At 38.7% G+C, this 27,743-nt stretch overlaps 1 protein-coding gene across 1 annotated transcript in view; it reads right to left on the minus strand.

The window, feature by feature from the left end:
* The window catches only part of SH3RF1 (SH3 domain containing ring finger 1), a 176,698-nt gene that overhangs the window by 26,810 nt on the left and 122,145 nt on the right, over nt 1-27,743 (minus strand). The window contains exons 5-7 of the mRNA NM_020870.4: nt 15,250-15,552; nt 8,978-9,088; nt 1,032-1,198 (exon numbers count right to left, since the gene is read on the minus strand). Of these exons, the coding sequence (NP_065921.2) occupies nt 1,032-1,198; nt 8,978-9,088; nt 15,250-15,552 (581 nt within the window). The remainder of the gene's footprint in view (nt 1-1,031; nt 1,199-8,977; nt 9,089-15,249; nt 15,553-27,743) is intronic.

Here is a 27,743-nt window from a genome sequence, read left to right on the forward strand (position 1 = left end):
AGTGTTGAACATTTTGTACAAATGTAAACTGAAAGTATAATCCTTTAATCTATAAGTAGCACTGACAATTCTCCATTGAAAGAGGTTTTGCTGTCTACATTTTAAAAGTAGGCAGAGGCCCTCCTGATTAAGAACCTGTTCCTCCCAGTATGGAAGTTACTATCCCACCAAATAGTATTTGCATAGTGTGAAAGAATTAATGCAGTTTCCAAGAGTGCCTAACTTGCTACCAGAGATTATGTACCCACTGGGAAAACTGAGTTCTTCAAATGGCACTTGTTAGGCTTGAGAAGTAGCCCCAAATGAGAACATATGGTATGAAATCCCACTGGGAAGCACAACACGCTGGCTTCTACACACAAGCTGAACCTAGAGGCTTGAGCTACACCTGCTTTTTATGCTCAGTTCTAGGGAAAAAGACTGAATTTGAAAAAATCAAGGGAGAACAAAGTCCAGATCACAAAACGTACAAGACAACCCCAAGATGCAAGGTGACTGTGCCCACGAACACATGGTAACCAGGCAGGCAACATTAACCTATAGTTCTTACCAGTGCTCTAAACAGTTGGTGTATAAAATTACACAATGCAGGATCCACGAAGACCTGGCTGTATTCTGCCATAAATAAACTCTCAACAGGATAAACTTTTCTGGATACTCATTGCTGAGGACTTAAGCTTTTTACATTCACACTGCAACTAGACCTAGATATGATTTGTGAAGAATACCTTTCTGTCACTAGTATTCTTATGCAAGAAATGAAAATAAAGATAAAAAGTTCAAACAGGAGTTGTACAAAAGAGGCAGTTTCATACCCATATAATATTCTGGCAAGCTCATGTATCAGACTGATTTTCTTTCAGCAGTTCCCTAGTTACATGCATGACCAGGTAGAAGTTTGCAGGACACAGACCGCTTGGTGAGCCATAACGCTGTCATCAGCTCATGTCAGAAAGGTGTTTCTTGACCTCTGAGGTTTGGACTTCGTTTAAATGAACACATAAGCAGTAACAGACGACACGCTCACTTACACACTGGGGCGAGTCTGCGGCCGTAAATGTGCAATCTGGTCAGTGGATCCTGCCATGGGCCTCGGTCCCATTCCAGCAGCAGCAGCAGCGGCGGTGGCGCCTGGTGGTGTGGAGGCAAGGACAGTGGCAGCCAGGAGAGGGGGTGGTGGAAGAGGAGGATTCAAAGTCTAGTATAGGAAAAACATAAAGAGAAAGGGAAAAAAGGGAACAAAATACTGATTTACATCTTCCTATGGAAGGTGGGAGAGAAAAAGAATTATAAATCCATAGAACAAGACTTTAATGGAATCCACACAGGGCAGAATCAGCAGGCTAACTGATATGAAAGCCTGCTTCTACAAATTCATCTCTTGTTCTCCTTTAAAATATTAAAGCCAAAGCAACCTTTTCAGCAAGCAGGTAAGTAATCACCCTTGGGAGGAGGGAAAGAAAAAAAATGAAACAATTGCATGTAATCTTAAGATTAATAGCATTTTAAAGTATGGACTTGGACAAGGATCCAAATGCCTTTCGAGGCGGGTAGCCATGTCATGCTGCTTGCTAGGAATTAATTTGTGATTGTTTCTGTAATCTGAAACTTAAACACAACACACAATGTAGCTGTACTATATCTCAAATCATTCCTTCAGAAGAAAATTTCCTTTGATGCCTGGTCTACAAAAAGCCCAAACAATAGTAAGCCACAGTCACTGGACCATTGTTGCTACTTTTGCTTATTCTTTTCTTAACTTTGCCAGCTTTTGAAATTTGGTACTATCGAGGCTGGTAATCTTTAACAAGTACACCAGTGAAAAGCTGCTGGTTCCTTTATGGGCACAGCCTAATGGGGTTCTGCCTACAGGATTCCATGCCTTTTGAAAATCAATGGAGCAATTGTTACCTTCTGATCTATAAACCCAGATAATTCTTTAGGGTCTGTATACTGAAACTCTTGGGAAAACAGGCACACAAAGACTGCCTGAACCGCTACCTCGTCCTCTCCAGATCTTTGAACAACTAGATGTAAAAACTAAGTCAAAGGAGAAATAAGAAGACTAAAGAATTTACCTAGTTAAGTGTAAATGGCTTCTATATGTCAGCATATTAACAAAATAAAGATCCAATGATTTCTAAACAGAGCTTATACCAGTCATCTTATTTCTGTTTTTTGGAATAAAAATTTGAATTTCATCACCATTCACTATAATACATCTGGCTGTTAATATAGACATACATAGTTCCAGAAACATAACGAACTGAGTGGAAAAAAATTTCAAATTTCTAGACGCACGCTGTAACTATTCGATGCATTATGTTTAATTTTTTGCTAAAGCGACTTTCAATAAAGATTTTTCCCACACTGTAGCTAAAGTGGTTGCAGAACATTTAGTGCAGAAACAAATGAGGTGCAGAGCCACTTACAAAGTGCAAACCAGGAGAAGGCAGAGGTTAGCTCAAAAAGTTGGAACGTCAGGAAAATGTGGCTCACATTCTCAATTCAAAATATGGCACCATTAAGATTTGTTATAGCTCGCAGGCGCAGTGGCTCACGCCTGTAATCCCAGCACTTTGGGAGGCTGAGGCGGGCGGATCACGAGGTCAGGAGATCGAGACCATTTTGGCTAACACGGTGAAACCCCATCTCTACTAAAAATACAAAAAAATTAGCCGGGTGTGATGGCGGGTGCCAGTAGTCCCAGCTACTCGGGAGGCTGAGGCAGGAGAATGGCGTGAACCCGGGAGGCGGAGCTTGCAGTGAGCCAAGATTGCGCCACTGCACTCCAACCTGGGTGACAGAGCAAGACTCCGTCTCAAAAAAAAAAAAAATTGTTATAGCTCTGGAATTTGCATGTACTGAGGCTTAGAGCCTCCAAAACCTTTAACCAGGAGAAGGGCAAGCATTTATCCTGTTAGGCTTCTTTCCAGTGACAAAGCAGAGATAAAGATAATCCTGGTCACAGCAAATGTGACCTGGACAGTTCATGGATAATAATGCATCAGCAGTTTGACAGGTGAGATAATCGGTCTACACTGTATATAGAGTAATATATGGAGAAACTGTAAAATTACCACTTCACTGATTTCCATTTAAATCTTTCTAAGCTCAATCTCAAAACAGTGTGGCTGTGGAAAGGCAGAAAACTAATGGCATGTGCTCAAACAGAAATTAAAATCATCTATTATAGCTTAACTTTATTAAAACAGAGGCTGTACTAATTTGACCTAAAAAGAAAAGGACAAAAATCATCTATGCACCTGATAAAAACATGTCATCTTTTGTAATATAAATAAAATTTTGTAATAAAATATAAAATCACTTCTTGTCACAAAATACACTAAGTTAAATGTTTCATGTACATTACTTTTGCAAACAGTGAGAGTTAGACATTAAGATATGGCATCAAAGAGGATATTCTGAAAGATCCCAAAGGTTCTTCCTGACAGAAAAGAGTTCTCTCTCACTTTCTGTGGCTGAAACATAAATGGTTTAATACAATTGGGCAGATCTTTTCCCAGTGCATGCATGTTTGCATGTGTAAATTTGTGTGTATGTGAGCAAACAGATGAAGATCAAGAAACTCTGATTAAAATCAGATTCCTAGATGTTGCTTGCCCCTGTGGGGTTGGTGAAATGATAGGGTTCTGGTGACTCCAGAGCTGTGACAGACTAGGAAATTTTGTGGGTTGCTTTATAAACAACCTAAACCAAAATAATCTGGTGATGTGGAAGTTCAAAAGGTAATCCACTGTGTATTGTGCTTCAGGCAGTTTGCTGTCCTGCAAGACCTGAAATTTCCACAGAGTAAAACCACACGTAGCCTTTCATTCACCCGGAGGTGACCTGGAGTCCTGCTTATTATTTCATAGTCCAGGCCAGCCCAGGCACCAGAGGCCAAGTATACACTCTCTACTACAGGCAAAAAACAGCTATGGACCTTCTAGAAAATGACACAAAATTCACATTTTGTTAACAATATTCTGCTCACCAAAACTAGGACTTAAGAATGGTGTGCTAATGGGAAATGGTCATATTTTGCCATGTCCAGGTTCTCTTCTCCTGACCCAGTGATCTTGAAAGAAGAGACAGTGTTACATCACTGAAGGAGCATGGCCTTTGGGGTCAAAAAAAAACATAGATTCCAACCCTGGCTCAGCCTCTTGGGGCAGTCCTCGACTTCCTTCCCTTGCTAGAGTGAGCACCCAGGGAAGAAGTGTCTTCTCTCTGAGTGGGCAGCATTTCAGAACACTGGCAGGTGACAATGCTAGTGACACTGTGAGTGAAAAGTTCAAGTATATGGGTGTGAAACTTCTCCCTTCTGGCACTCTCCCCTCTGCTTGCCCTTTCATGCAACCCGCCCAGGTAGTGATTGGATCTTAGGATCTGGCTAAAGAGAGGGGAAGTAGTCCAGTACGTCTCAAACTTGGGCCAAGGGCTACAGGCCAGCTTGCCAGTAAAGTGCTTTGCATTGGAGCTTTGGACACAAGTTCAACTGAAAATAAAGGGTTCATTTCCTTTCTAATTGTCTCTTACGTGTGTATCTCCCTCACACACTCCCAGGGTAGAAAAGTGACTGGCAAGATAGACTAAGCCTTTCTGGGTCCCTTGGGCAAATATTATTAATATTCTCTAATCTACCACTATTTCTTTCTAAATGTCTGATTTCCATTCAGCCCACTTTCAACCCTACATATCAACATGTCTGAACAGTCCTTGTGTGTACTGAACTCAGATGCATGAATACTGGTTGATGAGGGAATGGTTCAAGCTACTACATGGAGATGCCTGTTGAAATTGGTCAACAGTGTTACCAAGTTCAGCAGCATTACCATCTACATGCATAAATTATAAATTTTTTGTTCCACATTTGATCTACAAGAAACAAGAGAGATATGTATATCAGTTAAGTGACTCTGTAAATTCCATAAGGTCTCTATGTTTCACTATACCAACCTGAGAGATGGAGTTAATAATTAGAAATAGTTTATGTAAATTGTCTTTCCCAGTGCCCTGGAACACAGCAGAAGCTCAATAAATAGAAGCTATTGTTATGATTAATGAGATTGTGAAGTCAGGGACTGTCTCACCCGTCTTTGTATTGGTGGCACCTAGCTTTGCAGCTAGAAGATAACAGATCCTCAATGAGCATTTCATGAATGAAAATACACTATGTGCTTCTATCCCCTTCTTAGAACAATATGGTATGGAATAAGAGGTCTCAGTTCCCGAGATGCTAGAATCCTTTCCTGTTGCTGCTATGAAAGTTCTGACCATATCCTACTCTTCACCCTGATTTTTAGATCTCCTGCCAATTCCAAAGGCTCTACTTCTAACTTTCAAACTAGCAAGGTTGGCAGCCTCATCCTCTACTTCCAATTCCCTGAACCCACCAACAACAGTAAGTTCTGCTTAGCCTCCACCATGGCTACATATTGGCTATTCTGAGAATCTGACATTCAACTTTGTTTAAATACACACATACAAACATGTATGTGTATAAAATTTTTATTATTTTTATTTTTGTTTTTTTTAGGAACAGCATCTAGTCCTGGCTGGAGTGCAGTGGCACAATCATGGTTTACTGCAGTCTCAACCTCCTGGGCTCAAGTGATCCTCCTGCCTCAGCCTCCCGAGTAGCTGGGACTACAGGCATGCACCACCATGCCCAGCTAATTAAAAAAAAATTTTTTTTTTGTAGAGACAGGGTCTTTCTATGTTGCCCATGCTGGTCTCGAACTCCTGGCCTCAAGTGATCCTCCTACCTCAGGCTCCCAAAGTGCTGGGATTATAGGCATGGGCCATCACACCCAGACTAAAATTTTAAAATTTGGAATGCAATCTGTTTATAAATTGGCCATGAGTGGTATTTACCTTTATTGACCTGACTACCTTATAATACCTTGCAGTTAACCACCTCTTGGCTGGTCCAGAGGATCGGGGATTATTCATCACTTGTTTTAAAAGGCCTTCTGCCATTATGCAGAAGATACGAGACTAAGATCTTCAACCTCCTCCCCTACAAAGAGATTTTTAAAAAATCACTACTATTAATAGTTTGATGTCTGAATTAGATACATGTAATACCAGTATTGCTCATAATGTTGGATATTTAAAATTTTAACTGTTACATGTGAAATGTATGGGACAATGTTTATAACTTCGTTCTGCATAAAAGATTTAAAAATCTCAATTCATGAAAAAAAGCATTGGAAATAATTTTCATTTTTTATTCTACTGGTGGCATTTATTGCCTATAAATCTATACCATGAAAAGCCTGCCTTCTTTTCTACCAAGCTGTGTGCCATTGCTGTTAATAGTACTCACAGTCTTCGGAACCAATTCAAATTTTAAATAGAATGCTTGACACAATTAATATAAGATGCAGAGGGCTCCTGCTACTGAGATTTTCCACTTAAACCTGACATATTAAATCTAAAACATTTCTGCCAACCTACCAGGCACTCTGAGATCTAGACATCTCCTGGGATGACAGACAGGTTTGTTTATAATTAGTTTTTCATTAAATGAAATTGGCACAGTAGACATACTGTTTAATCAACCTTCCTCTTGCTTAACATGCAGGTTTTCTTATATAATCCTAAAATAAAATGGCTGAATGTAAATTAATTTTTGTATATCCATGTTCTCTTGTGACCTGTCCCATTGATTTGCCTCAGAGTGAGCCTCCAGGTAAGAGTAACTGGCCATTTACTACATTGTATAATTTTCAGCCCACAAGAGCTAAAATTAAGCCAGCCTTATGTCTTTTCCCACTACAGGTTGAATATCCCTTATCCAAATGCTTGTGACCAGAAGTGTTTCGGATTTTGAATTTTTTTAGATTTTAAAATATTTACTTCACCAGTTAAGCATCCCAAATCCAAAAATCTGAAATCCGAAATGCTCCAATGAGCACTTCCTTTGAGCTTCATGTTTGCACTCAAAATGTTTCAGATTTGGGAGCATTTTGGATTTCAGATTTGAGATGCTTAACCTATAATTAAATTTTCTATTATCTGAAAAGTTAAGTCCTTTTCTTTCCCTTAAGAAATCAAGTTAGAATTTTATCATGCAAGGCACTCATCTGGAAATGAAAATATCAACTCATTGTGTATGTGTACTGTGAGTGGGAAGGAAAGGAGAGAGTCTCCCCTGGAGATGAGAGGTCATGATGGTTAAGGAAGTTGGCTCTGGTCAAATATCCAGGGCTAATAGAATCTCAGGGAAACCAAATTTCACTAAAAGTTAACTGAAATTCATCTTCTCCCCAGATGAATCCAGGCATCTTCTCCTTCGCCAAGCAGCTGTACTATCAAGAAAGTTGTAACTGTTCAGGAAACATTAAAAACGAAAATAAAACAAACAAACAAAAAACACCTTTAACCTCTAGCTACAACATTATTAGCTTCCATTTAAATACAAGAACATGCTTAACTCTAAAATGTTTTCAAAAGCCTAAGTCAAGCTAGGTAATAACTCTACATTTATTTATATCCCACCTTGTTTCTAAATCAGTTTTCAATTATTTATAGATGTATCAAGACAAAATAAATAACAAATAGGAAAAACAAGGCAAATGGAAAATAAGAACAATAAAACTAGCCGGAGCCAACATTTTGACTAATTATGTTGTGGAGTCTTTGCTGGAGGGGCTACAAATCTGGTCCTAAGCACTCTAGCAGAGGGAAATAAAATCTTTACAACATGTATAAAACCCACAACCTAAAAACAAACCAGCTGCTTAGAAGCCTCCCTATTCCTGGTACAGACAGCAAAGAAAACTGTAACAAAGTAAACCAGGCCCAACTTGCAACAGCCCTCAACCGAGCCCAAAAAGGAGATCAATAATGTTCATCCCTTTCTATGATCTAACTCTGTGAAGTAGATACTTATTTTATGGCTAGGGTTACTGAGGCTTAAAGAGGCAGAGTACCTTTTCCATGGTCATATAACAAATAAATGGCAGAGCTGGGCTTCAAACCCTGACTGTTTCACCACAGGCCTGCACCCCCATCATCAGGACACACCAATGGCATTCTCTGCAAACAGCACAACTTACGACTGTGGGCAGGCAGGGTGATGCAATTGGTGTAGGTACTAGGGCAATCTAATTTAATGATCTTTTCTATCGTAATTCAACTCAGCACTGGAGCAAATAGAAAATATAAGCCAAAGCTTTGGCCTGGATGAGAGATGTCTCACAACTGCTAGTTCCTTGCTTATAATTTTATGAAACAAGGTCTTAAACAACAGTCTTTCTCTACTACCGAAGGTTGCATTTGCTTGTTGCTTCCCTTTTAATTTTCTTTCCAGAATGGCCCTCTTCTTTGTATCTGTATCTCCTGGCTACCCTAATTCTCCCTATTATTTTCCCATTTGGATGTTTTTAAGCAATTAGCCGTTTAGACTCTATCTGTAGGATGTCATGTTTTCAGAAGGGAAATCAACATAATCTAAGGGGGCCTTCCAAGACTGAAGGTGCCTTTAAACAGCCACAGCTACAGACCATATGGACACAAGACAAGAAATTAAATAATGAATCTTTAATGTAGAGATTTGGTATCGGATCTGTCATGTGACTCAAAGTAAACCATTCACCTTCAGGACCTGCTTCCTTAGTATTTTCATAAATGTGTCCTTATAAGAAATAAGCAGGATCTAGAAACTCAAAAGAAATAAAGGTTAAGCTTCAGAAAATCAGGTTGAACTTTAATGAAAATTAAATGTATTTTTGAGTTCTTCTAATAGCTTCAGGCCACTGATCCTCACTGTTAAAAATTTTGCAGGATGCAGGCAAGGGACTTTCTAATGTTTTGTTAAGATTAACAGAGATAATAGATGAAAGATAGATACCCACCTCACCTAACAAGTATGAACATACGCTGCAGGTGTTAGGAGGTGGAGTGTGCCAGATTAACATGACTAAAGACCTAAAAGAGAAATAAAAATGGGAGAAACTATACTCACTCCAAGGGCAGCTTGGTAGGGAACATCTGATGGGAAAGTAAACGAGGGGCCAGTTGTCACTGGGCTGCTTGGGGGCGGGGTCACAATTAACCCGGTGGTACTTATATGAACCTGCCGAGAAAAGAAAAGTTATTAAAAAGAAGACTATGTTTAATACAACAGAATATACTGGCTAAACCTTAGAAAGGCAAGTCACATTAAAAAAAAAAATCTGTACTTTCTGTTATTTGGGGAAGGTAGAATCCCTTTTAGTCTGCTCAACCCAAATTTACCAGTGACCTAATTTGAACCAGGCATTTTACTAGATGCTGGGGAGTGATGTGATAAATACTGGTCACAACAGTGTCTTACCTACAGAATTCAACTGCCATTGGCTTTCACGGTAACACATTGCCTCATTTGGTACGCCACCATGAATCAAACTGGCCTTCCAATGGACAGCCTGGTGCTCAACTAGCCTCCTAACAATTTCCCTGAAGATCCTGTTAAGGTGGGTAGTGGCTGAACACTCACCTGTCTATCAATACGTTAAATCTATGTGAAATTCTTCAGGTATTTTGCTATTTTCAGGATCATTTTTCATGACTTCTACCTTTCGGTGGGGATGCATAATTAAAATGCAGCTGCCTAGACATGCTTAGAGCGGGCAATTACTTATAAAATCTTTAAAGGAACAATGTCAAGCCAAATTAGTTGTTTTCAAAGGTGTCTTATCCATGATACAACCCAAGATTAATTTACTAGAAAGAAATTGAGTTATTCAGGTCATTTCATTGCCTGTGTTAAGTTACTCGATCAATTTCACTCAGGTTGCATAGCAGGTCCAACTGCAGAATGCAGTGGTGTTACTAGAAGCTACAGAAGTAGGGGGATGGGTTCCTGCACAAATGGAAGTGTTTCTTCCCCTCCAGTGTGAATAGAAGCAATGTGGTTGGCTGGTACCTGCCTCCCTAAGAAAACAATAACCCACCCAAAATGCTAGGTTTTATAATAAAAATGTAATCCCAAACATAGTTTTCTCAGTTCCCACACATTGAAAGAAAGATTGTCAGGACAAAGAAAAGCTCAGAGGTTAGTTCCCAGAGGACCTAATGGAAACTTTCAGTTTCCCACTGGGGTAGGCCCGACCAAAGCCAGGCATAATCAGCATCATGGCATGTAATTTATTTTCACAAATAAATCTATGCTATACATGGAATCTGCAATCTTTTAAAATTCATCTGTATCTATTAGTCTATATATTGATTGAACTAAAGTTTGAAACTAAGTAGATCCAGGGGGTGGCACTAAAAAGAGTTTCTCCCCAAACCCAGTTTCTTCCTTTTCTTCTTCTCCTCATTATTTTTTATTAGACAGGGACTCACTATGTCACACTTCTTATTAGACAGAGTCTCACTATGTTGAGCAGGCTGGTCTTGAACTCCAAACCCTCATTTTCTATTTTTCCTGTGAACCAAAGTCTATTTCCAACCTATTTCTAACGGGAAGCACACTGGTTTCAAAGTGGACATGAGGCAGGAGAATAGGGTCTGAAGGCAGGGAACCTAAGGCTGTTTCACGCTGACTTCCCAGAACTAAACTGAAAAGAAAACCTTAACTTTCCACGCCTAAGTAACAAATGGACCAAAGGCAACTTTGCAAACCCCCACCTTTTCTGAACCGCAGGTGGGAAACTGAAAGTACCTCTGACTGGTTGCTTTCTGTAACCAATCAGCCATTTGCATAGGAGTATAACTTTGTAACTTCACTTCAGCCTCTGATTGGTTGCTGTCCTCAACCATTGATTGTGGGCCAAGTCTTTGTTTGCATAGAAGTGCAACTCTGTTAACTTCACTTTAGCCTCTGATTGGTTGCTTTCCCCAACTACTGATTGTGGGCCAGCACTTCATTTACAGGTGGTGAATACCAAGTGTCCAATGGGAAACCTCTAGAGGGTATTTGGGCCTGAGAAGACTCGGTATCCAGGGCCCTTGAGCCGCTGCTCGGGCTGCTCCCACACTGGCGTGTACTTTCATTTTTAACAAATCTCTGCTTTTGTTGCTTCATTCTTTCCTTGCTTTGTGTGTTTTGTCCAATTCTTTGTTCAAAACGCGAAGTACATGGACACCCTCCACTGGTAACAGACATTATTATCAAGGAACCCTTGGGGCAGAAAAAAACTTACCAAAATACAACTTCCTGGGCCTGACCCTATACATATCTGAGAAAGATATCATTATTGATTGACATTTCTCTAAAAGCCCAGAGTGGGAGACAGAATAATTAGCTGTTAATGACCTCATGGTTTTGGGATAAGTCCCTTCATGTCTCTAGGCCCCTGTGAGCAGGTGGACCAGAGGCTACCTAAGGTGTCTGCCATCACAGGCACTTCAGGGAAGCACTGACATGGAGAATCCTGCAAGTACCCCTTCAATACAGGGCTTTCCTAGCACTGCAGCAAAGGAAGAGACAAAGTCACCAAAGAATGACTAAACGCAGAAGGACAAAAAGTAGAAGTAAACCAGTCTGAAGGGTGAGTATGTCTAGAATAAATGCCCTGAATAGGGACAACCTGAGTTTCTGCTGGGCTTACCCTTTTCTCATGGAACTGCAAAAATTAGTTGTCTCCTCTGCAAGAAAGGCTAAGTAAGGTGGGGAAGAGTTGGGGTAAGCAAAAAGGAGGTGGGGGTGGGGGTTTATTGCTTTCCCTGAGGCCACTGAATACAAAGATGCCATAGAAACACTGAATATTATGAATCACTCCTCTGGAGGCCAAAAAATATCCTAAGTGTGGTCAGAGGAGGAGACAAAACATCTTGGCTGCTTGTACCACCATGTGCTTTTACAGACACTCATGTCACAGTCACAGACACTCATGAACATCTATCTGATCTGGCGACCCACCTGGAAAGCACTGCCTATAAGTAATCTTTCAATTTATGTATTTGAAAGTTCAGCCATCACTCAATAGTCACTAAATATAATAGCAAGCAAGCCCTTTGGCTTCCAACTTGTCCCTTTCACCTTCCAGCTGCCAGCAATTTGGACGTGACAGTGACATCTCTAATTGCCATATAGAAACCAGGGCATAAGGACCCACTTATATGGTGTAGACATGAGCTGGAAGGTGCCGAGGTCCCTAATAACTTTGTGGTGCTATTATGCCAGCATCCAACTGCCTATATCTAGATTTCATTGGGATGAGATAAAAATGAATACTAACATTTTTAAGCCCCTTACTTTCAATTTTCTAATCAATTCAGCCAAACTTAATCCTAACTATACTAAAAAACTACAAAAATTAGACGGGTGTGGTGGCACACACCTGTAATCCCAGCTACTCAGGAGGCTGAGGCAGGAGAATTGCTTGAACCTGGGAGGCGAAGGTTGCAGTGAGCCAAGATTGTGCCACTGCACTCCAGCCTGGGAGACAACAGCAAAACTCCATCTCAAAAAAAGAAAAAAAAAAGAGGCTGTGCGTGGTGGCTCACACCTGTAATCCCAGCACTTGGGGAGGCTGAAGTAGGTGGATCACCTGAGGTCAGGAGTTCGAGACCAGCCTGGCCAACATGGTGAAACCCCATCTCTACTAAAAATATAAAAACTAGCCGGGTGTGGTGGTGGCGCCTGTAATCCCAGCTACTTGGGAGGCTGAGGCAGGAGAATTGCTTGAACCCAGGAGACGGAGGTTGCAGTGAGCAGACAGTGCCACTGCACTCTAGCCTTGGTGACAGAGTGAGACTCCATCTCAAAAAAAAAGAAAAGAAAAGGAAAGGAAATTGTAGGCAAAGGTTAACATGTGTAAGGAAAAGGAAGACAGCAATCAGGTCAATAGCAGGGAACAGATTTAGCAATGGGTCTCAGTTAAATCTACAGCCAGGCTCTTTGCTGGGCAGGGGAAAAGGAGAGTCCTGTTTTAAATGGTCTTACATGAGCCATTTCCCCATACGCACTGATCTCCATGGTTGGAAGAGTTTTTGCACGTCACAAATGCTACACATGCTCAATGCTCTATTGTGGCCTGGGGTGCCCTCCAATGTACACAGTGCCCTAGATAAGTAGTGTTTTCTGTAAACCTCGGCTGGAGAAACCAGGCAGCACTTCAAACACCTCCCAGCCTCTTCTAGAAATAACTTCTCCCTGAGGCAACACTCTGCCACTGAAAACAGAACAAACTGGAATATGGAAGGAGGGGTGGAATGGTTGAAGGGGAAACTTTTAATGGAACACAGAAAGAGCCTTGTTTCCTAAGCTACTTGAACCAAAACAAAAATAGCTCTACTTTTATAGTCTTCATTCCCAGCTCTGGTGTGGTAACGTCAGGCATGCTCACACCTGAATGCTGAGCTCTCTGCAAAAGATGAAAATGCTCAGTATATCTTCTTTTCTCTTTTCATTTTCTCTAATGCCAAAAGATTATTGTCCACTCTCTTAAAGCTATTCCCATTCTGAGCTGTCACTATTCTTGGCAGAAGCTTGTCTTTTATTTCAAGACAACATCATTGTGCAAATGTTGCTAGGTCCCAAGATAAAAAGCACAGAATCAAAATGATTCCATTTTCTGTTAGTGAGTGGCCATCTTCACTAGCTCCCTCCTTCAGAACCTTACTCAAAAATCTTTAGTTCTGAACCTTTCTGGATTAACCTCACTTTGCCCTTCCTACTCTGATCTATGATCCATGTCTTTTTCTCACACGGATATGATTAGTTAAATGTAAAATGACATGGTTCCCCTCTCTACCCATTTTTCAAGTGACTCATTCATCCAACAAATACATGTTGAGTGCTTTCTGCATGTCTTATGTCTGCCACTTAGAATATAATCAGTGTACAAAACAAAGACCCTTGCCTTCACTGCACTCATGTTCTAGTTGTGCGTTGTGCGTGTCTTTATTTCTCAATAAGAGTTTCATGGCCCTACCACCTAAAAATGCCACAAAACAACAATCCCACAATCCCATTCAGAAAGTGAATGCATTTAACTTGAAACACGCAGTATAAATCTAAAGGAGCAGGGTCAAATAAATGAGGCTGAGGCTGTGGCTCATACTTGTAATCCCACCACTTTGGGAGGCCCAGGTAGGATGTTCACTTGAGGCCAAGAGCTTGTTACCAGCCTGGGCAACAAGGTGAGACCCCATCTCTATTAAAAACAAACAAACAAACAAACATGAGGCTGAGAAAAAAATGGCAAGGGATATCAAAAACTGTATTTTACATTTTCATTCTGTGGTCCAAAATAGGCACTTACTAGAATGTAAACTTTTTGAGGACCAGGACTGGTATTTCTTTCTTTTTCTTTAAGGGGACATAATTTCATTTTAATGTTTAAAGAAAAAAAAACCACCATAGCTATATGGTGGAGCAGAATGTAAAATCTGCATGAATTTTCAAGATGAAACATGAGACTTGAAAGAAATTCCTTCTGCTTGTGACAGGCAGCTTTGAACTAGATTCTTTGACCTTTAAGTTGAACAAAATACAGCCATCACCTAAGTGGATAATGATAGCAGCCCCGTGGCTTGGGCAGGGTTATAATTAGGTTCTTTTTGTAGTGCAGAATTAAAGCCTAACACAGCAAATTGCTATATTTTAGATATCATGGTATACACAGTGCCTAGAAGGGTCTAATAGTAAAGTGCTCAATAAATGTCTGCCAAATGAATGAATGAATGATTGAATGAATGCCCCAGTCATCCCATGTATTTTTATAAACCTAAGAATAACGCGTGGCTATTTTTTACATACCAGTCCAAAGTTGTAATGAACTAATGAACTTAGAAAGTGTGAGGTCAATTTCTAATTTAAATTAAATGCTTCTTTCTGTCCTTGCTCTTTTTCTCTTCTCTATAATTCTGGGAAGCCTACATATTAAGGTAAGTTACATAGATACAAGCAACTACAAACGTCACGAGTTTGGACCATGGCATCTTAAATCTGGGTGGAGATAAAGTTTTAGTTGGCAAGATCTCCCAAAGCAGTACTGTGAGAAAGTTCTGTAAGGCTGAGTGATTGCTTGGTGAAACTGGTAAGTATTATATAACTCATCTTGTAAGTTCTGATCTTTCCTTTGAAAATGACAGAGTAGTTAGTTCTGGGTTGATACACTCAAGTTAGCTTTCCCTTCTCCATTTTTCCACTTACAAAATGAAGACAGGTTTTGCTTCCCAGAAAAGTTACTATCTTCAGAAGTTCAAAATAAGCAATGTTTGTCAGCCAGTGAGCAAACATGTTTGTAAGTTGATCCTTTTGTGGGTGAGCTCTTTTTATATAACACTTGTTTGAGGATTTACCTGAGAAGGGGCACTGCAGGAGAGCCCAGACAGCTCGCTGATCCGTGCAGCAGCAGTGGGGTTGCTGGAGCTGATGAGGACAGGGGGGCTGATCTCCATGGAGTGGCGGTTCTGGGATGCCTGGGAGGACTTGTTGGCCATAGTGAGGGAAGTGAAGGAGTGCCGCTTTTTGGTGTTCTTCTTGGTGTCGGAGTGCTTTGGGGCAGTGCTGCTCTGGGCTGCTGCCGAGGAACATTCTCCAGCATCAACTCCTGGCACAGGAGGCTTATCCCATTCTATCAGCTGCTTAGCAGCCGAGTTAAACTGCAAAAGCAACCAACAAACCAACACAAGAAGGTTAAACAATTCCTAAGAATTCCCTGAGGTTTATTTCCAACATGATTTCATCCAAAATTTAAAGTCACTACTTTAAAGTTTGCCTATGCAGTGTCTGTTTTTCCCATGTGAGATATCTCTTCTCTCAATATTGGGACTTCATTGTATCTATATCACAGGTAGATATTAAATCAAGAATAAACAATTCCATTGCAAGACTGAAAGAGTAAAAGACAATTTTCTTAAGAATTTCCATAATGTCTGATTTTAAAACTTGCCAATAACAAATGAAAATTTATTTCAGCTCACTGTGAAATTTCGAGAAGAGCAATCAAAATGGTGTATTTATCACCCTTTTCGTGACACCCTGTTGCACAATAATGGTTGGGTATTTGCTCAAAGCACAACTGAACAATGAAGGGGCAACTTCTGGGTTTGGTAAAAATGAGCAAGAAGACAAAGAATAAAACCATTCAAAATGAACTCATGTGCTTCCATGTATATTTACCTCCTGCCTTTCTTTCTGTATTCTGGGAGAACCTCACAAAAAGCTGGCAGAAACTCTTAATATGTTTTTTGTCATGTCATTGTATCAGCTATCATCCTATGTGCACGTACTTTAAATCATAACAGGGTAAGACATGAAATTCAAGTCCTATTGGCAAGTTAACTTCATCTATCTGAAAAGCCCCAGTGTAAATTAAGAGTACCAGGGGTCAAAATCTGTGCACTCCACTGATATTATCAGCAAGAAAGGAAAGAACACAAGCCTTTTGTTTTCCCTAGGGTAAAATAAAACATTTCTGGAAAGCTTCAGTGACAATAAGCTGCATATAACTTTCCCAGATATTACAGTAATGGAAACATAGCTCAACCTCTCAAAAAAAATTGAGATGCAAAATAATAAACTTTTAAAAGGTAACTTAAATATAATATTAAGGAAAACAGTGATTTTTCCATCTCGGCATTACACATTGGGCACTTCACAAATGTCTTTATATAAAATAATATCATGTACTATTTTTCCCACTTAAATTGTTCAGGCTATGTCTTCTCATCCTGTTGATAAGATCACTCTACTAGAAGAATGGAAACTCTCTCAGTCAATATTTTATGAAATGAACTTGCTTTGGAACAACCGCTTCCTCACAAAGCCATGTTAACTGGAGCTCAGCAGTCACTGCTTCTACAGATGATTGCAAATTGACTGACAATTTGTTCCTAAGGCTCCTTGGGGACTCAAATTCAGGTGGCTTGTCTCATCTATAATTAGTAAGATAAATCTTTATCAAACATGACCATATCTCTTCTTCAGACTTTAAGAAGTTTCTCCACATGATAATCATTCAGAAATAATAGGCAGTAACGCCAGAATAACACCTGTCAATGCCTGAAGTACCAATGGCGGGAGAAAGATCATAAAGACTTCTTCCGATATGTGTTTAGGGATGAAAATGAGGTTCTAGTTGAGGGTGGCCCTATTACAAGCATTTTCAAGGCAATTGGCCAGGAGATCCAGAATTTACAAATCCTTTCTTGGTCTAGCTATCCCACCTTGAGAATAAAAAGCCCAAATGAAGCAAAGTAATGCTTTATATTATAGTGGGAGTGGCCTGAACCTCACTGTAGAGCTCTAATAAACTGCAGTGAACCATGGAGGGGTAGGGTCCTCTTTCCTGCACAGGTTGGGTGTAAGGAGCCTGGAAACAAAGCAGATTGAAAAGCTACTTCATCTCCTCCATCCCAAACACAACATCCTCATGAAATGAAGGGCCAGCACACCTGGCAATGCTGGAGAAAAAGGAGCCAGAGAATGTCTTCTTCCACCATAAGCTTATTTAGACACCTAGAAACAAATCTTTGAAAGTGCAAACCTAATCAGTGTGCTGGAAACTGACTGATCAACTCAGCACTCCTGTCCCAGTGAGTAAGAAGTAGAGGAGGGAGTTGAGAAGACTTTCTTCTCATTGAGGCAAAAAATATGAATAGAGGAAACTATCAAATCTAGTTGATATCATGTTTAGATTAATTCTGGGGTCAAACAATAGACTCCATTAGTGGTGCTTGTTTTGAAAGGTTCTGAAAAATTACTATAGTCTCATCATGATCATACCTGGCTGGCCAAGTGTCAGTTATATATTCAACATTGTGTTAGTATTTCAGGTTTCCATATGCTGTGCTCTGGTATAAACATCTGAGGATTAAAATATTGTTCCCAATATTTCCTGCTGCTTTCTCAACAGAACAATACTGGGTGCTTCCTTTGTGTCTTTCTTCATATCATATATTCTCCATTAAAATAAATACACATTGAGCATCTATTTTTGGGGGGACTGGGGGGAAAGGTCTCACTCTGTTGCCCTGGCTGAAGTGCAGTGGCACATTCATTGCTCAGTGCAGCCTCGAACTCCTGGGCTCAAGCAATCCTCTTGCCTCAACCTCCTGAGTAGTTGGGACTATAGGTATGCAACACCACACCCAGCTAATTTTAGTAGCAATGAGGTCTCATTATGATATCTAGCTGGTGTCGAACTTCTGAGCTCAAGCGATCCTCCTGTCTCAGCCTTTCAAAGTGCTGGGATTACAGGCGTGAGCCACTGTGCCTGGACTCTGAGCACCAATTATGTGCTGAATAATGTGCTTGGTGTTAAAGATCTACAAATGCAGAGAAATGATCTCTGCCCTTAAGGACCTTACAAACAGGCATAAAAATAACACAGTGCTTTCCATAATTTCTTATGTCTAGCTACTTTTGCTCAACAATATGCTTTTTGAGATTTATCCATATTGCTCCATGAGTCAGTAGTTCTTTCTTTTAAATTGCTGTGTAATATTCTATTGTGTAAATACACTATAATTTATCTATCCATTCTACTGCTGATTAACATGTGGGTTTTCTTTCCTCCTTTCCTGTCTTCCTTCCTTCCAATAGACAGTGGCTATTAAGAACAATGCTGCTGTGAATAATCTAGTTATGTGTCTTTTGGTGGACATAAGCTCCCATCTGGATATTGGGTACATGTCCAGGAGTAGAACTGCTGGACCATAGGGTTGGATGCTTGGAAAAATTTATGCAGAATCATGTGTATGCAGGTAGACACATCCTGGAGTGGTGTAACAAGCCAACTGGCAAGTAGAAGACCACAGTTCTAGTCCTAGCACAGCCATTACCTAACTTTGGGGCCTTAAGGGAGCCATCTTACCTCTATTGTTCACAGCTTCCTAATCTATAAAGTAAGTTGGAGCCAATGATTTTTAGGTCTCTTTTAGCTCTCCACATGTATAATGCATAATCTCACTTTAAATGGACAAGTTTCATTTTTCTATTTGATTTCTATTCCTCTAAATAGCCTAGCATATTTTTTCTGCATTTGATTTTTATGCATGGACAGTAATATTTGTTAGCAAGATGCTGTCATACTTTAAAATTACTTGAGATTTCTTCTGAAGCAGCACATATTAGTATTAAAAAACACTGCTCCTTGCTTCCTGTATCAGTTCCAGAGAAAATCATAAAGTTAAGACTATTTGGTAGAGGCATTAAGTAAATCAGGCAGAAACATAAAGCAGCTTTTGCTGTAAGTATAGCAACCTTTGGTAACAATAGGAAACCAAGAATCTGATAGCTTTTAGTAGAATTTTGATAAAATTCATGTATGAATGTTTGAGCTCAGTAGTGTGAGCTTTCTGTGACATTTATCTAACTATGACCTTTAATGTTAGGAGTACACTCATCACCTGCAAAATAAATTTGTATCCTAAAATACCTTCTTCCAAGCATTTGGTAAGGAGCTTTGATAAGACTTAGGTTGGATATAAGGTAAAATTCAGTATACTGGAGATAAAAGCAGGGATTCTATTCATTACTCTTAAAATTCTTATGCCCCTTTTTGGAAAAAAGTCTAAAATGTAGAAAGAATGTGTTTTTGAGAGTTATCAGAAGTATAAATAAATATGAGATGAAATACTGACAAAAATAATATTAATAAAAACAACAAGGCAGCTTAAGAAATATTAAAATAAACTTTTTTGTGTGTATGGTTGCCCTCTTTGCTAGAGAGAATATAGCCTTTTTTAAAAGGCGGGACTTACAATATTTTAAAGAGAAAAAATTTTTTAATAAGAACTAAGTTGAATAGTTACTATTTTATAGGAAGCTTTACAGATGAATCAGTCTGTAGCTTCTGAGCACTACAGGATACAAACAGTAGATCTGAGAAGTAATTATTTTAATTCACAACCCACTAGAGCAAGCTTGTCCAACCCACGGTCCTCTACATGTAGCCCAACACAAATTTGTAAACTTTCTTAAAACATTATGAGATTTTTTTTGAGGTTTTGTTTTTTCTTTTCTTTTTTTTTTTTTTTTAAGCTCATCAGCTATTGATAGTGTTAGTGTATTTTATGTGTGGCCCAGGACAATTCTTCTTCCAATGTGATCCAGGGAAGCCAAAAGATTGGACACCCTTGGTATAGAACATTATGAAGTAAAAAGTAAAAGGCCTCAGCCAGTTCCCCACATCTGTCTCTTCCCAACCCACTTCCCAGATGGATTTCCATTTAACAATTTAAAACATATCCTTCATTTTCTATGTAGATGTTGTTATACATGTATCTACTTTATTGATTTTTAATACAAATAAAACCAAGCAATCCATTCTATTCTCTCATGAAATAATATTTCATGAACATCTTTGCATATCAATAGGGATAGGCTGATAGCATGGTATTCCATTTTATAGAGACGTTGCCATTTACTATGTCTTGGCAGGCTCGTACAAGCATATCCATAGGGTAAACTCCTAAAAGTAGAATTTGCTAGATCAAAGTGTAAGTTTAAAAATCGTTTTTTGAAGTAACAAGGTGTATTATATTGTTTTAACTTGTATTTCTATTTATTAATGAGATTAAGCATCTATTTTCTTTTTTTAGGATTTGCTTATTTCCATACTCTATCCATATTTCTATTGGATTGTTAGTATTTTTCTTATAGACTGATATAAATACTTTTTTTTTTTTTTTGGAGACAGGGTCTCCCTCTGTCATTGAGGCTAGAGTGCAGTGGCACAATCTCAGCTCAGTGCAACCTCTGCCTCCCCGATTCAAGTGATTCTCCTGCCTCAGCCTCCTGAGTAGCAGAGATTATAGGCAAGTGCCACCATGGCCCGCCTAATTTTTGCTTTTTTTTTTTTTTTTTTGAGATGGAGTCTCGCTCTGTTGCCCAGGCTGGAGTGCAGTGGCGTGATGTCGGCTCACTGCAAGTTCTGCCTCCCAGGTTCACGTCATTCTCCGGCCTCAGCCTCCTGAATAGCTGGGACTACAGGTGCCTGCCACTACACCTGGCTAATTTTGTTTTTGTATTTTTTTAGTATAGACAGGGTTTCACCGTGTTAGCCAGGATGATCTCAATCTCCTGAGCTTGTGATCCACCTGCCTCGGCCTCCCAAAGTGCTGGGATTACAGGTGTGAGCCACTGCACCTGGCCTTAATTTGCAATTTTTTTAGTAGAGATGGGGTTTCACCATACTGGTCAGGCTGGCCTCAAACTCCTGACCTCAGATGATCTGCCTGCCTCGGCCTCCCACAGTGCTGGCATTACAGGCGTGAGCGATTGCGCCTGGCCATAAATACTCTTTTTATATTATGTAAAGTGCTCTTTAACTTATATGTATATATGTGTGTATATATTTATGTCTATTAAATTAAAAATAATGTTCTAATTTGTTATTTATCAGTTTTTTTCCACTATTGCATCTTGATTTAACATCATGCTTTAAAAACCTTTTCATTCCACAATTGTTTTAAATAAGAAACCTACATTTTTTCCTACTTTTTAAAATGTTTCCTTCTTTTCATTCTTTCTTTTTACATCTCCGTCTGTGAACCATATGCCCATCTGGTTTTGCATAAAGAATAAGGTCGGGAAAGCATTTAGCACTTTGTTTTTCCACATGACTCAGCAGTTGTCCTATCATCATTTAAATAACAGTCCATCTTTTCCTCACTGGTTTGAAATGCCATGTTTTAAATGTAGCACTTCAACATTCTACTGCATCACTAAGTCCAATGTTCCTTCCCCAGATAAGTCAGTCACTTTGAAGAATATCAGGGAATGAATGAAATGCTATGGAATGGAAATTCATGCCCATTTACATCCTCTCAGCAGACATGAAAATATTTTGCCTCACATTATAGTCCTTTGCAAAATGGTCCATAATGGCAATGAGAAACTGGTATTCCCATTTGTCTCCTATTCTTCCCTACAATTTAGGTAATAAGGTTTTTGTTTTTGGATGACCTAAATATAAAAGCAAGCTCAAACTTCATTTATAATGCAAGACTTACCCACAGAAGAGGAATAACTAAGAGACTGAAGGGATTACTCAAGAGTCTTTTAAAATTGATATGAAAGCCTCCCTCAGGTAACAGCTCCATTAAGGTCTCTGTAAATATTTGTTGAATGAATAAAAATGTTTGTCTCTTAGAACTATCAAGGGAAGGAAGTGCTGCCTCTAGCCCAACACTATGCAACTGAAATATAATATGAGCCACACTTGGAATTTAGATTTTTTGGTAGCCACATTTTAAAAGACAGAAAGAAATAGGTAAAACTCATTTTAATAATACATTTTATTTAGCCCAATGTATCTACACTATGATCACTTCAACATGTAATCCATGTAAAAAAGTACTGAGATGGGTACATTCTTTTTTTGTACTATGTCTTTGAAACCCGGTGCGAACGGAGTGCTTCCATCCCACTCAGTTTGGACGAGTCTCGCTGCAAGTTGCTCAACAGCGACATGTGCATTGGATGGCACAGCTCTAGACTCTCCATAGCTCCTGTAGGGAAAGAAGCTGCAACACAGGGTGGCTGTGCTCCCGAGGCTCATTAAGCACAAAGAATTTGCTGAACAGAGAAAAGAAGACTGAAATGACTCCCCTGACTCCCTATGGCCCACATTTCTGACGCCTCCTGGGTCCTGAAGCAGTGCACTGGCAGCAACTACAAGGGTTACTCATTTAAGCAGTAGGACAGGGAGGAACACGGACTCCTAATACAAGCCTCACTACATCCTGCCAAGGGAAAAGGATTTTCAAAGTTAACTACCTGGCTGCACTAGGTTAGGAAGGTGAAACATCAGTTACGTAGCTCTTCACTTATTTTCATTATCTTCACTTCTGTTGGCCCTAGCTGTTAAAAACAAAATAAACTAGAATTTTCTTGTTCAGGTTTCTGACTTTGAAATGTAAGGTATAAAAAGAGGGTACATGTCATTAAAAGCCTAAAAAGAATTTTAGCTGAGGTAGCTGAAAAAGGGACTGTCAGAGAAAACCACAGGAAAAGCCCTGAACTTCACACCGAAAGGTTTAGGTTAGAGTTAGGTCTTTGTCCTCACTGGTTCAGTAATCTTGGGTGGACCACATAAATTCCATGGTTTTGGTTTCCCTAGCTGTACAAAATGGGAAGGTAACATCAATTTTACACACCCCAGGTAGAAATGGGCATGGGTTAAAGTGCTCTGTAACATGTAAAGTGCTATATGAACATGAGTTATTCTTACTATTCAGAGTCCCAGCTTGCCATTAACTTGCTTTGTTGACTTGGGCAAGTCATTTGACCTTGGGTATGCCTCCCATTTCTCATTTGTAACATGAAGCAAGACTTAATGATCTGTAAAATTTTATGCCTAGGTAAAGTACAATACCTATTCTCAACCCAAACAAAAATATCCCATTCAAAATATTCAATAGGCAAAGACTTCTGTGTTGGGAATAGGGTCCTCAGGTATTCAGTGACCAGAATCAAACCTAATGGAGCCTTTTACTCACCCAAATGTTTTTTGAGTGACTGTTAAAAGCCAGGCACAGTACTAAATGAGGGAAATAGGGAAACAGAGACACATCTTTTCTGACTCATGATAAAAGAAAACCTAAGAAACAGCATGATGGATTAAGGATAGGAGGCACAAATTCACGTGTCTGCATAGCTTGGGCAGTTGAGGTCAATGAATGAAGAAGGCCAGATAGAGACCAACAGAGAATGGCAGGCACACTATAGTGAACTATGGTCAACTGGGGACTGTCTGCTTTCTTTCAATGGGCAACTACTTGGCAGGGTCAACTGATTTTTTTTTTTAAGGAAAGCTTATGTAAAACCTCCTGAGTTTACATCTTAACAACTAATTTTTAAAAACCACTCTAAGTCAAGCATAAAAGTCATGGGGATCGTACTAGTTGGTGATCTCTGATTTAGGGAAGAAATAATAGAGAAGAAAATAGTAGGGGTAAGAGGAAAAGCAAAAGGCCCTCAGAATCTCAGAATCCACAAGAAGACCTTGCAAAGTTTCCCAGGCCAACCATCCAACCAACGACCCAGAAATGAAAAAGGCAAAGAGTTTCAGAGAGATTAAGAATAGTGTACTTAACCCAGCAATTCCACTACTGGGTATATACCCAAAGGAAAAGAAATCATTTTACTAAAAAGAAACCTGTACTTGTACGTTTATTGCAGCACTATTCACAATAGCAAAGTCACGAAATCAACCTGAGTGTCCATCAACGGTCTACTGGATAAAGAAAATGTGATATAAATGCAACAAAGGATATTATGCAGCCATAAAAAAGAGAGAAATAATGTCTTTTGCAGCAACATGGATGGAGCTGGAGGTCATTATCCTAAGTGAAATCACTCAGAAACAGAAAATCAAATACTGCATTTTCCCACTTATAAGTGGACTTAAAGATGGAAATAACAGACACTGAGGATGCCAAAAGTGGGAAGATGAGAGGCAGGTGAAGGTTGAAAATTTACCTATTGGGTACGATGTTCACCATGTGAGTGATAGGTACATTAAAAGCCCAAACCTCACCAATATGCATGTAATACCAATGTAATAAACCAGCACATGTACCCCCCGAATCTGTAAAAATATATATATATTATATATCATATATAATAATGGTCATATTATATATATTATATATAATAATTATATATACATACATATATAATAATGTTGGTCAGGCTGGTCTCGAACTCCTGACCTCGTGATCCACCTGCCTCAGCCTCCCAAAGTGCTGGGATTACAGGTGTGAGCCACCGCCTGGTCTAAAAACTATATAAAATATATAAAATATTATATATTCTATATATTATTCTATATAAAATATATATTCTATATATTATTCTATATAAAATATGTATTCTATATATTATTCTATATAAAATATGTATTCTATATATTATTCTATATAAAATATTACATATTCTATATATTATTCTATATAAAATATTACATATTCTATATATTATTCTATATAAAATATTACATATTCTATATATTATTCTATATAAAATATTACATATTCTATATATTCTATATAAAATATTACATATTCTATATATTCTATATAAAATATTATATATTCTATATAAAATATTATATATTCTATATATTCTATATAAAATGTTATATATTCTATATATTCTATATATTATATATCTATATATTCTATATAAAATATTATATATCTATATATTATATATTCTATATAAAATATTATAAAATCTATATATTATATGTTTTATATATATACTTTTTTTTTTTTTTTGAGACCAAGTCTCGCTCTGTAGCCCAGGCTGCAGTGCAGTGGCGCTATCTCAGCTTGCTGCAACCTCTGCCTCCTGGGTTCAAGCAATTCTCCTGCCTCAGCCTCCTGAGTAGCTGGTATTACAGGCGCATGCCACCACGCCCAGCTTATTTTTGTATTTTTAGTAGAGACAGGGTTTCACCATGTTGGTCAGGCTGGTCTCGAACTCCTGAACTTGTGATCCACCTGCCTCAGCCTCCCAAAGTGCTGGGATTACAGGTGTGAGCCACCACCCGGCCTAAAAAATATATTTTTAAAAAAGAATAGTGGTAGATGTTATTGAGAGGACAAAATGACAAAAACAAGAGCTAAGAAAAGTCAGTTCGTAGCAAACAGGAGGAAAATTTCAGAGACTGGAGTGACCAGAGGCTAACACTAACTGCAGGGAGTAAGAAAGCAGAGGCAGAGAGCAGGGGTAAGCGATTCTCTTGAGAAGTTTAGCAGAAGTAAGAAAAAAGGTAGAATCATAATTTGAGGGGAGTGTAGTCAAGGAATAGGCTTTTGGGGAGCGTAAAAAGCTGATCATTTTCCTATATTAAAGGATAGCCAGGGGAAAGGGAATAACTGACATGCAAAACAGTAAAGATATAATAGATGTGACCAAGTTCCTGGAGGATGAAAGGCCTAGGCAGAGAAGACAGCAACCGCAAAGGAAGAAAAACCCTTCCCAACTGTGAACAGTGAATGTGCATACAAATTTAAAAGTTCAACCCTGAAAATTAAGTATAAAGAGGTACAAATACCTATTACTTTTGGAGCAACAGATGTACAGTCTATTCATGGTGCTGGGGAGAGAGACCAATGGATAATTTTTAAATTGGTCTCAGTTCACTTCACTGTGTTTACTGGTTCTGACAATACATGAAGTTTTATATATATGTTTCCATTACATATTTGTTCACTGAATGCACACCATAAATCAGAAATGTCTGTTAGCCAAAAGTATCATTCCAATGACAAATTTTATTTTCTACAACCTGATTACCAGATGTAGGGATACTATAAAAGAAATATACATGTATCTCAGGAGGTTATGAACATGGAATTGTCATTAATTCTAAGTGAAAATTTGTCAATGTGAAATGACACACTGACAGAAATTCCACAGTGATGTGTAATCAGCTAATAAATCAGTGAACAAGTATTTCCCCTACCCTGGATACTTAAAGCACGTGTGGATGTGCATGGGGGCAGGGTGGGGGAATGGTGATCGCCAAGAAAGAATCTGGCACAGAAAGAGAATACTGTACCAAGGATATTGACCATCAGGACTTTGCACGTTTGTTTGAGATCTTCCTTCCTCTCAACATATGGAGGAATTTTCGCCCCACAAATATGTGAAGCCTAATAGGTACATTATCACTAAACTTTATTTTAAAAAGCAATGTTGTTTTATAACACTTAGGAAAAATACTTTCCTAAAACATTCCATTTCATTCTAGAGAAGCCTGTTCCCCATTGATGTAATAAAGATGCTCCTGTTCAAGTCATTTATATGCCACACATGCACACACATGCTGGACCAGTATAGAATATTCATTCAGTCTTTTTTACACGATATAAGACATGACTTAACATTTGATTAATTAAAATGAATCTATTCTGCTTATTAAAGCTTTAGTTACTGGAAAAATTTAGTGTGTATATAGCAATAATAAAATATTTAAATAATAAAAATAAAAAGTTGAAAAGACATTAAAATATCATGGTTTTAATTAGTTTGTGATTTTTCTCATAAAAAGGCAACCTCAGATATTTAAAATTGTTGAGTAGTGACTCATTTCTGAAAATTAACCTTTTAGGTGTGAGAAAATGAAATGTTTCATAATTTGTTATGAAACATTAAAATGCCCTATACACTTTTTAAGCAAAGTTGGATAATAATAGTGATTCTGCCCAACCATTAGGAATGCTAGTTATTGAATGTGCTCTGAGACTAGGGCAGGGCAGAAGTCTAGGGAAGCGATGAACTGCAGAGTGGAGGCCACGATTCCTTTCTCGATTCCTGGCTCTGTGTCCCCCTGAGCAAGACATTTGTCTACAAAATGGTAAAAATAATTAAATTATAGGTTAGCTACTAGAGTGTTTATTAGACAGTCATAAAAACTGATGTTTAGTAGTACTACAATTATATGGCGAGAGGCAAAATCATGTGTGTAATATCATTAAAGCATAAGGAAAAAGAATGGAAGGATATTTACCAAAATTATACACGATGAGACTTAGGATTATTCATTTCCTTTCCAAACGTTCTGGAACATGATTATATTGTAGAAATAAAATCATTAAAAATATCCTTTACATAAGATATGGCTCTAAGAAACACAGGAAAATAATAAATCATCAACAAACCTAATTATACACTTAGCATGTTCCAGGCAAGTAAGAATGGTACAAACGGGGTACTGTAGAAGTTCAAAGCAAGGAGAGGGGGTTTTTTTTGGTTCTGTTTCATAGAATTTGTTTTGTTGCATACGAAAATTAGGGAAGAAAGGCTTCATGAGGAATGATAGTATTTATTTGGA

The sequence above is a fragment of the Homo sapiens genome, chromosome 4 (assembly GCF_000001405.40).
Source record: "Homo sapiens chromosome 4, GRCh38.p14 Primary Assembly".
Taxonomy (NCBI): domain Eukaryota; kingdom Metazoa; phylum Chordata; class Mammalia; order Primates; family Hominidae; genus Homo; species Homo sapiens.